General features: G+C 40.3%; 1 annotated feature.

Moving 5' to 3' along the window:
• Positions 720 to 1,919: an enhancer, noted in NCBI's record as "MED14-independent group 3 enhancer chr5:155010119-155011318 (GRCh37/hg19 assembly coordinates)". NCBI's record gives its function as "activates an origin of replication core promoter dependent on BRD2, BRD4, P300/CBP and CDK7 cofactors, and independent of MED14, by STARR-seq in HCT116 cells {active_cell/tissue: HCT116}" and the evidence as "EXISTENCE:reporter gene assay evidence [ECO:0000049][PMID:35650434]".

Here is an 11,751-nt window from a genome sequence, read left to right on the forward strand (position 1 = left end):
AGGTAACAGAGGAGACTCAGACTCAAATAAAAATAAAAGTAAAAATAAAAATAAAAGCCAAATAGTCAAACTGTGTTCCAGTTGCTGTACCATTTTTGCATTTCTACTAGCAATAGATGAGTATTCCAGTAGTTCCATATCCTTACTAATGCTTGGTAGGATTAGTCTTTTGAATTATAGTAATTCTAGAGGGTATAGAGTTGTATCTCATTGTGATTTTAATTTGCATTTCCCTAATGACCAATGATGTTGAGCATGCTTTCATGGGCTTATTTGCCATCCATATATCTTCTTTGATGAGTGTCTGTTCAGATTTTTTGTGGAAACTGGATAATTTTTTTATTTTATTGTTGAGTTGTAAGAACATTATTGTATCTCTTGGAAAGAGATTCTTCATCAAATGTATGTTTTCTAACTATTTTTTCCTGGTCTATGGCTTATCTTTTCATTTTCTTTACAGTGCCTTTTAAAGAATAAAATTTATAATTTTGATGATGTCAAATTTGTCAATGTTTTTATATCTGATGTCTGTGATTTTTGCTACCTTTTTTTCTTAAAAAAAAATCTTTGCCTAACCCAAGGCTGCATATATTTTCTCCTATGTTTTCTTTTAGAAAAGTTATAAGTTTAGCTTTTACCTTAGGCCTATGATCCATTTCAAGTTAAAAATTTTGCATGTGGCATGAGCTAAGATTTAACTTTAATTATTATGCATATCCGATAATTCCAGCACCATTTGTTTGAAAGTTTATCTCTTGTCATTGAATTCCTTGTCAATTTTATAGAAAATTAATTGATCTTAAATGTGTGGGTCTATTGGTCAGTTGTTTTTTCTATCTATAGCTATATGTCTATATGCCAGTACTACGTTGTCTAAATTATTATAGCTTTATGGTAAGGTAATACAATTTTTCCAACAAAGAAAAGGCATTTTTCCCAGGTGACACAGCAAGGTAGTGTCCAATCCATGGCTAGAATTGACATGTTCGTATTTCCAGCCTGGCTGTCTTCTTCCTTACCCTACATTTCTTCATGGTACCATTTATTCCTGGGCTCCCACCCTCTCTCAGTTCCTCTACAGCAGGGGAAAGTGAAAATGTTGTGACATGCAATCACATACTGTTTGATTTAATATAAAACAGAATGTTTTTTTTCTCCACCCTCTTCCTCACCACTCTCAATATCCAAGTAAACTTGATACTCTAGGAAAATGAGCCCCATCTATCCTGTGTGTACCTCTGGGGCAAGGACCTCAACTGAATAGAATGGACTGGTCCAAATCAGAAATATTCATTGCTCTGTGAGGACATAAGCCAACAGTACCATAAGGTAGGCTGGCCAGTGGACTCTCTGGAGTCACACACAGGGAGTTTTCCCTTGGCTTCCCTCCTTAATCAGAACTTCTCTATGTGGGAACAGATGGCTGGTACAATATGGAAAAAACAGTCACATGAACCTGCTTCTGTTTTGCTAAACCTCATTTCTGTAGTCAGCAAACAGGAAATTCCAGACATGTGACAAATCAACTGACGTGGAATTCCCAACTAGGTGTTCCCTCTCATGCGTCTTCTCCACTGTGGAGTCACTGCTCCTGCCACTAGCATTCGCAGAGACATTGGGGCCATTGCAGTATCTGGAATATTTAGTATGTGGATGGCAGGAATCCAGCCCCAGAGAGAGGATCCAAAACCAGCCTTCATGGAAATGTGGGCTTCAGCTGAGAAATAAGTGCCATTTGAAATAGATATCTTAGCTGCTTTTAATCAGATTACACTATCATTGAAGTTTATCTGTAAGTTTTTGCTTTTATATAGTCTTGACATCTTTTTTTAAAAAAACATTAAAATATTGATTGGGAATTTTGTACTCTAATAGAGAGTGCCTGCATGTGTGTGCTGTGTGTGTGGACTCATGCAGGCATGTGCATTTGGTCTAGTGAATGGAGTATCAACAAATTTAACCTCATTTTACTGAAAAGATTTAAAAATTCATAATTAGCAAACCCAAAAGGAGGAAACAAGGGGAGGTCATATATGATTTAGAAATATATTGTGCATGTTATAAGCTAAGGAATTTGATCACCCTTTTGTAACTGAGACAACCCTTTTCTCCTCCCTGCTCTCCAAATGAAATAAAAAAAAGATCAATTTGGTATGGAAGCTTTATGGAGTCTCATACATTGACAATCTATTGTATTTAACTGCTGAATATAGTAAAATCTCAGTTAACTAAAGGACTCTAAGAGGAACATTCTAGTGATTTTACTTCTCTGATTAATTGAGGGATTAAATAGAATTTCCCTCTTCAGCTTTTGTTGAAAAAACTTCCAAAATGTATGAGTATGCTTCCCTGTCTTCGTAACTCTAGCCAACACAATTGTATTTTTCTCATGACTCAGGATCTGAAGATTTAGGGGTTATTTGGAAAATGCATCTCATTATTTAAGGCTATAACAGTGGTGGTGGAATTGTGGGAGTTTTACTGAGTGAGCAATGACCCTCACCCTCAGTTTCTTACTGTTAAATGAGGGAATAGGTTTTTCAACTGTGTTGTGTAGAGCTGTAGCCCCCTATCTATCACAAACAACTTGAGATGTTTTAGAAGTGTGTTTCCAGAGCCAGGCATGGTGGCCCATGCTTGTAATCCCAGCACTTTGGGAAGCTGAGGTGGGCAGATCACCTGAGGTCAGGATTTTGAGACGAGCCTGGCCAACATGGTGAAAACCCATCTCTACTAAAAATACAAAAAATAACCAGGCATGGTGGCGCATGCCTGTAATCCCAGCTATTCATGAGGCTGAGGCACAAGAGTTGCTTGCAACACAGGAGGTTGCAGTGAGCCAAGATCACACCACTGAAATCCAGTCTGGGCAATAGAGTGAGACTCCATTTCAAGAAAAAAGGAAAAGTGTTTCCAGGGCCAGGCATGGTGACTCACACCTGTAATCCCAGCACTTTGGGAGGCAGAGGCTAGCCAATCACTTGAGCCTATGAGTTCAAGACCAGCCTGGGCAACATAGTGAGACCTTATCTATCTCTACAAAAAAAAAAATTAGCTGAGCATGGTGGTCTGTGCCTATAGTCCCAACTATTTGGGAGGCTGAGGCGGGAGGATGGCTTGAGCCCAGGAAGCCAAGACAGCAATGAGCCAAGATTGCACCATTGCACTCCAGCCTGGGAGACAGAGTGAGACCCGTCTCAAAAAATGTAAAAAATAAAAATAAATAAAAAATAAAATTGTATCTTCAATCACCGCACCAATCCTAGAACTTAGTTATTATCACCCTCCTTTTGTATGTGTGGAAACTAAGACTAGAGAGACTTTGTATTGATGGCAGCAGTTGCTAACTAACTCCCAGCTACAGCCAGGAGGCACAGCTGGGGCTGCACACTCCGTGGAGCTCCCTGGGTGCCACTGTAGCCACCCAAATCATGACTACAGACCCAGGCCTCCTGCTCTACGGAGCAGGCAGGAGTCCATCCTCCTGGCCAGGGGCTACAGCCAACCAAACTGTGGCTGTGCATCCCACCCTCCCTGTCCTCTTTCAGGGGGGCAGGAACAGGCAGTATCTGCCCTCCTGGATGCAGCTGAAACTCTCTGACCCATGGCTGCAGACCTGGGCCTCCCACTTTGTGGAGTGGGCAGGAGCCAGAGACAAGCAGGAACCCTACCCCTCCTGAGTTTGTGGAACTGGAGCTCCCTGGGTACAGCTGTGGCCACCCTCTCAGGCATCTCTGCAGTCTGCACCCTCAGGGGCCCAAGAAGGCCCCCTCCTCTGTCCCAGCAGGCTCGGGTTATCTGCTTCCACTGCCTGGCCTCTCTTCTACCCTGGTGCCCACTCAGTCTTGGAGCAGGGTTGGGGCCAAGCTGCAGGGCCTTGAATGGCAGCAGGAGGCAGAGTCCTGGATGGGCAAGGTTGGGTCCCCAGTAAGGCCCACCTTCAGGCCAGGAAGGGCCTGATGGCTGAGGGCTGGGCTGCCAGTCCTGTAGACTGGAGCGGGGACCCATGATGCCTCTTCTGGGCCTGCCCGTGGCCACCCATGAGCCAATTGGCATGCACTTCCTCCACTCTGAGGTCCATAAAAGCCCTGGGCTCAGCCAGAGCAGGGCAGAAGACAGCCAGAGAATGAAGAGGGCAGAGAAATGATGGGACCACTAGCTGCAGAGAGGAGTACCCTCTCTGATGATAGCTGGAGAGGATGGGATGACCAGCCGCAGAGAGGAGCTACTCCCTCTGCTGAGAGCTGCAGAGGTGACCTGCTGGCAGAGAGGAGCCACTCTCTCTAGAGCCTCCTCTCTGCTGAGAGGATATTGGGATGAACAGTTGCAGAGAGGAGCTACCCTCTCCAGGGCCTCCTCTCTACTGAGAACTAAACACCTAAAGATGACCTGCTTACAGAGAAGATCTACTCACTGCTGATCTCCTCTGAACTGTTGTAACACTTAATAAAGCTCATCTTCATCTTGTTCACCCTTCACTTGTCTGTGTACCTCATTCTCCTGGATGCAGGACAAGAACTCAAGCAAAGGCATGAGCAGCCACAGAGGTTTCCGGGAAGAAAATCGACACCCCAAAGATTCTGTAACATTATCTTGTCCAAGGTCATAGAGTGTGTAGGAAACAAAGCCAGCAGCAAATTCAGAACCCCTGTTTTTCCTTGCACTCTGCCACTGGACCCAACGTTGTCAAATTTCAGTAATTTATTGCAGTGTTGCTTTCTCTTTCCACTGCTGTCTTGTGTCCTATGAGAATCTGACTTAGGCTTGCCTTCATTGCATGCTGACAGTTTTTCTCACCTAGCAGCTATCATCTCAGGACTCAGTGTCAACTAACTCTAATCTGAGTATACTCACATTCTGGAAGCTATCATATAGAGGAACACAACCTACATTCTTAACATAGGGTGTCTAATAGTGGCAGGAAGGTCAAGGGAATTTGGGGGTGTATGTGGCCTTTATCCCTACCCAAATCCTATCATGTAGGCAACCTCTACCTATTCCATAAACAGAATTAGATGGTTCCAGGGGAACTGCAGAGAGCTTCTTGCCATACATCGTGTCCTAGAGCTTTCAATTTTGAATGGAAGTGGCAGACACTGGGGCTTTCTCTCCTAGGAGGACAAGGGTCACTGCAAGGCATCAGTAGCTCCAGAAAAGGAAAAAAGTTGATGGAGATCAGCTGTCTTTTCCCATCTCCTCATTAGACGAGCACTTCCATAGATAGGAGTTTATGCAGCATTTTCCTGAACAGCAACTTACAAGCATGCAAGAGATATTTTGGTTGACTCATTTGTCACCCCCATAAAAATAAGTACCCTCTGTGTTGAAGGGCATAAGCCAGGGGGTGTTTAAGTCTTCCTGCAGTGCCTTCTTGTAGAGGTCCTGAAGTTTGCTCATGATGTTTTTCCTTGGCTTGGCCTTATTTTAAGGAGTTGTCAAATAGATTGCAAAACAAGGGCTCCAAGATTATTTCTCATCCTGTTTTGCTTTTAACTTTTAAAGATTAAAAATATCACATATTTATTGTAGAAAATTTGGAAGGAACAAAAAACTATACAGAGAATAAAGTCATTGTTTTAAAATACAAATCCAATCCTGTCATCCTGGTATTGAAAACACTTCAATGGTTTCTATGCATTTTTTATATTGTTAAGAGCACCATTTCATAAGAACTTTACCATTCTCTGCTGTGGAGAGAAACCCTACTGTAACTTCTTTATTGCATTGCATGAATGTATCATAACACGTTCATTTCCTTAAAGTTGAACAATTAGGTTGTTTTCAGATATTTTCTTTTATAAAGAGCACTGCACAGAACATCTTTGTGTGTAAACATTTATAAGCATTTTTAGATTAGAAAGACTCTGTAGAAATTAGAAGATTGAGCAGGCCCTCTAAATGAGATAATGAATGAAAGCACTTAATTGTACTTACACGTACATTAGCATAATGAATGTACATTACTTTAGCCTCAGATTCAATTCATTCCAGTGCTGACTTTGAAGGATAAATTGACTGACCTGTGAGGTGGTTCACACTTGTAATCCCAACACTTTGGGAGACTAAGGTGGGCTGATCACTTGAGGTCAGGAGTTCAAGACCAGCCTGGCCAACATGCCGAAACCCTGTCTCTACCAAAAATAGAAAAGTTAGCTGGGTGTGGTGGTGCATGCTTGAAATCCCAGTTACTCGGAAGGCTGAGGCATAGGAACTGCTTGAACCTGAGAGGCAGAAGTCGCAGTGAGCCAAGACTGTGCCACTGCATTCCAGCCTCGGTGAGAGGAAGACTCTGTCTCAAAACAAACAAACAAAAAGGATAAATTGAATTGACCACCTCGCATTATTACTGAACCAGTCTATTCTCTAACCAGTTCCTCAATCCTACAATTTATGGCTGTAAATGTTGTTGGCCCAAGGTGTGCTGTGAAGGTCCAGTTCTTGCTATGGTTGTTTTCAGATTCTGTGAGGAAGCTAAGTGGGGTTCCTTCATTCTTCCACTGAAGACTATGTGGCCATCACCACCAGCTGAGCAAGAGTAGTCACCTGGAGGTAAATGTCCTAGGGAGCACACTTTCAAGTGTGTCATCAATAGTCCTGCAGGAAGATGCTATTAGGATAAACTGTCCTATACTTCAATGGATGCATGGAGAGAAGCCTGAATTTCTCTCTTTTTTGTATTTCTAAGCAGGAGGCTTTGTGGGAGTTTGTTTACATCTGACAGGGTCAGGGAAGGATGGGAAGGAAAAAAGAATACTGTTTTTTAGTTATAGTTTGTTTTTAAAAAATCCTGTTCGCTTGCAATTTACATACACAGATTAATCTTTTTGTTTTTATATTCTTTCTCATTTGAAAAATGTTTTACCCTATCAAATAGTAAAAGAGACGCACATCCTTATCATGGGTATGCAATGTTTGAGAAAGGGAAGGCTGTGAAGCCTTTAGCAAGAGAAGACAGCAGAGCCTAAAGAGAAACAGGTCCCCAGTATCCCCCTAATCTGAGGTAGTATTCTCACCCCCATCTCTCTGCTTTCAAATCCTACATCTAAAGTCTCAAACTCAAATGTCTTTATGATCCAGGCAGATAGGATAAATACAGTCAGCCAGGTTGATACAGAGGAAACTGGAAGGGCACTTTTAAACCATGGTGCAGGCCTTACAAAGCCTGTCTGCAGCCTGAATGCAGCCCATATGCAAGTAACACAAAGGCAAATGTTTCTGACAAAGAGGCTAAACATTCTGTTTAATAATTGAAACTTTTATTAGATAAACTGCTATCAGGTCTAAAAATCTTGAGGATATTCTGATACTCATATGCCAAGCTGAGTAATATATGGCACACATGTACTTGTGCATATATAACTGTATCAATGTGTATCTGTGCTGTATATGGGCTGCACTCTGTAGTACCTCAGTTTTAGACTTTTTCAAGAAAAGTGAGATGTTTAGGATACCTATTAACATCTTGTACTTGTTTTATGGATACATTTGGAAAATTGAAAACGTTTTATAGTATTTAGTGCCCCTGATATTCTTATAAATATAAGCATCTCCTGCTTAATGTCATATTACTAACCTGTTCTTAAAAAATCAGATGTTCTACACAAAAACACTAGCCTAGAGCATATTTCCAGTTATTTTAAATGGGAAAAATTACAATGCATTATCCATCAACCCTGAAACCTCAAATAATTTCCTGAAATATAAATACAGAGACATTTATATATAGGTAAAAATTATCATTTAGGATGTAAAATGTATGTTTAGCAAACAGAAGATCTGTGTACAGTGACATGATCTTTGATGCCTCTTTGCACTAGCAACTTTCCCTTTGATGACAATCAGCCTACTGAAAAGTAAAAATCTGATTCTGATGTTCTGATCTGTGTTTGGAATGGACTTGAGAGTTTTCTTCATCCATTGTTTAGTTAACAATGTTGTATTGATTATTAGACTTTAAACATAACATTTCCATATTTAAACAATGGTGAAAAACAATGTGGAGAGATAAGTAAGTTCTATGAATTTAAATATTAAAAAAAAACAATAGTGATTCTATCAGAAAAACCTAAACTGTAAAAGTAGTTGGCAGAGTATGTCTGTAATGACACAATGAGCTCTGGTTCATTAGCCTAATGATGTAAGCAAATACCTTGCTGGGGTCTAGCACAGTATGTGATGCTCAGTGTTCTGTTCCTATTACAGCTTTCATTTTTTCTTAATCAATTCCATTTCTAAATTCATTAATTGGGATTTGTTTATATTTTTATTATTCAGAGAAAACCTAATGTATTTCAAGAAACATTTTTGAATCTTAATTGTAATTTGGATTTAAGTTTCCACCCATACTAAGTTGAAGAATGTGTCTGGGCATCTGCTAGATAAAAATATTCTGGCTTATGAGGATTTGTCAATGTGGTTTCACAAAGAAACATAATCCATTCATCAAAAATCTGTTAAGCTCAATGTGGGAAAGCAAGCTCCTTATAGATCTATCGCACTGCTAATAACAACTATAAACTGTGGAAAAATATCTTAACCAACTACCTGATGAATATGGGGATTAAACAAAAGCACACAGGTTCCATAGAGTGATAGAAAGAAAAAAGGACTAGTAGCATAGGCTAAGTTTTCTATTAATATGAGTTTTAGCCTGAGTGCAGGCCAAGTTAGTGCCACATGGGGCATCTAGAACTTTGATAGAAAACCTTTAACCATTCTAGCCTGAAGAACCATAGGACAGAGTTCCAGGCAACTGCAGTCATTAGGAAGTGAGGCCAGGAAAGAAGACAATCGGAGAGAGGGGCTCTGAATTCTACGTATAAACTCTTCCAATTCTCTGGCTGATGCATGAACCACGCATGTGCCTGTCAGACTGCAAACTTCTCAGTTAAGGAGTGAAAGAACTAAGCAAATTTGAGCTGATGCCCAAAGGGCACAGTTTGAAATTGGATTCCCACCAAGTTAATTGTCTCCTGAAACAAATAAACCAAAAATGTCAACAAGTTTTGGAGAAACGTAACAGAACCCAGTTTCTACAACTTACATTACAATGTCCAGAATACATTTCAAAATGACGTGACATATAAAGAATAAGAAAAATGTGACCCATTTTCAAGAGAAATGACAATCAACAGAGGCCAACCCCAAAATATTTCAGATGTCAGAATTGGCAGACAAGGACTTTAAAGCAGCTGGTCTAACTATTATTAATGAGATCAAAGAAAATATATTCTGGAATGATAAGATGGAAAATCTTAGCAGATAAATAGACAATATATGTAAGAGCCAGATGAAAATTTTGGAACTAAAATAATACACAAGCTGAACTAAAATACACCAACAAGAATAATTCTAATCTTTACTATGAATCTTTTACTTTACATGTAAAAATTACAGGGGTATGAGTATGCCTAACTCACAGAAAACATTTTTACATTCTTCTGTTTTTGATCCCTCCCGGCGTTCTCCACATGGTTGGCGAGTGCTGCCTGAAACGTTCTTCCTCTTTTCTGTAACGTATTTTCAACCTCCAGTCTCTCAAAATGTTGACCATACTACCTGAAAAGCTTTTCTTTTCTTTTTTCTTTTCTTTTCTTTTTAATTATACTTTAAGTTCTAGGGTACATGTGCACAATGTGCAGGTTTGTTACATATGTATACATGTGCCATGTTGGTGTGCTGCACCCATTAACTTGTCATTTACAGTAGGTATATCTCCTAATGCTATCCCTCCTCCCTCCCCCCTCCCCCCACCCTACGACAGGCCCTGGTGTGTGATGTTCCCCTTCCTGTGTCCAAGTGTTCTCATTGTTCAATTCTCACCTATGAGTGAGAATATGCGGTGTTTGGTTTTCTGTCCTTGTGATAGTTTGCTGAGAATGATGGTTTCCAGCTTCATCCATGTCCTTACAAAGGACATGAACTCATCCTTTTTTATGTTTGCATAGTATTCCATGGTGTATATATGCCACATTTTCTTAATCCAGTCTATCATTGATGGACATTTGGGTTGGTTCCAAGTCTTTGCTATTGTGAATAGTGCTGCAATGAACATACGTGTGCATGTGTCTTTATAGCAGCATGATTTATAATCCTTTGGGTATATACCCAGTAATGGGATGGCTGGGTCAAATGGTATTTCTAGTTCTAGATCCTTGAGGAATCGCCACACTGTCTTCCACAATGGTTAAACTAGTTTACAGTCCCACCAACAGTGTAAAAGTGTTCCTATTTCTCCACATCCTCTCCAGCACCTGTTGTTTCCTGACTTTTTGATGATTGCCATTCTAACTGGTGTGAGATGATATCTCATTGTGGTTTTGATTTGCATTTCTCTGATGGCCAGTGATGATGAGCATTTTTTCATGTTGTCTGTTGGCTGCATAAATGTCTTCTTTTGAGAAGTGTCTGTTCATATCCTTCACCCACTTTTTGATGGGTTTTTTTTTTTTTCTTGTAAATTTGTTTGAGTTCTTTGTAGATTCTGGATATTAGCCCTTTGTCAGATGAGTGGATTGCAAATATTTTCTCCCATTGTGTAGGTTGCCTGTTCCCTCTGATGGTAGTTTCTTTTGCTGTGCAGAAGCTCTTTAGTTTAATTAGATCCCATTTGTCAATTTTGGTTTTTGTTGCCCTTGCTTTTTGTGTTTTAGATGTGCTTTATTCTTACTCCTTCCTCTTTTCTCTTCCCCTTTCCTCTGTGTCTGAGCCTCTCTGGATTCTATTGTTGCTCACTGTCTGGAGCTCCACAAGATTTGAACCAGTAGGTGATAGTGATTTTCCTTTGTGTGTGTGTTGGGATAGAGAAGGGGACAGAAAGAGAATATGAAGTGGGACATATGGTTGATAGGGTTGCAGTAAAGTTTAATTGGTATATTCATGGACTTCTCTACCTGGACAGATGTGTCACATTTATATAGGTACACCCTATACTGTGGTGTGCTCACTTTTGACATTCTTCTTTTCCATTGATTATCATTTATTCAGCTGCCTACACTTTTCTGTCCTTCTACTGTTTAAACCACTATTAGCTTCCATTGTGTCCTTGTCCCCCAAGGCCATTACAGAGCATTACCTGGCAACAATCTTATTCCTCTAAGCCATTGACTGTAGCTACTTTTGTCACTCTTCAGCTACTAGAAAAAAAGATGTACTCCTTTTTATAATCACTCCTTCAGGATGAGTTCTATGGTTGTTGGATGGCTAGTGATTTAGTTTTTTTCTTTATATTATAGTTCTTACCTTACAAGAGGGCAAAGGTGACTAGTGGGACAAAGAATGGGTTGCCAGACTCTCTTGGTGAGAGCCAGAATCTCAGGTGGAGAACCTGCTGTTTGGTCTGGATCACTCTCCCTGATGCCTCCTCAGAGTTCTTTTCTCTCAGGGCACTTTATTGTCTCTTCTCCCAGACTGGCCTCTTCCTGGAAATCCCTGTCCAATAGGCGAATCTGTATCCCAGTTGTAGACTGGCTTCAGGCTCTTGACCATAGTCCTTTGTTCTCAGTAAATTGAGAGCTGTGCTGGGTATCTGTTTATTATTAACCCAGAATATTCTGTGACAGTGAGCATATATAGAGACATTTGAAGAAATTTTATTTAGAAGTCTGGACTTCTGAGAGCATGAAGAAAACTTCTAGTGGGAGGTATGGTCAGCCATAAAAGCATTCTGGGAACACAGAAAAGGAAGCAGTGACGTATTTTTAACATTATAAGGTGTATAGTTTTGTGGAGTTTTCCCCACATTTAAATATT

Source organism: Homo sapiens, chromosome 5 (assembly GCF_000001405.40).
Source record: "Homo sapiens chromosome 5, GRCh38.p14 Primary Assembly".
Classification (NCBI taxonomy): Eukaryota; Metazoa; Chordata; class Mammalia; order Primates; family Hominidae; genus Homo; species Homo sapiens.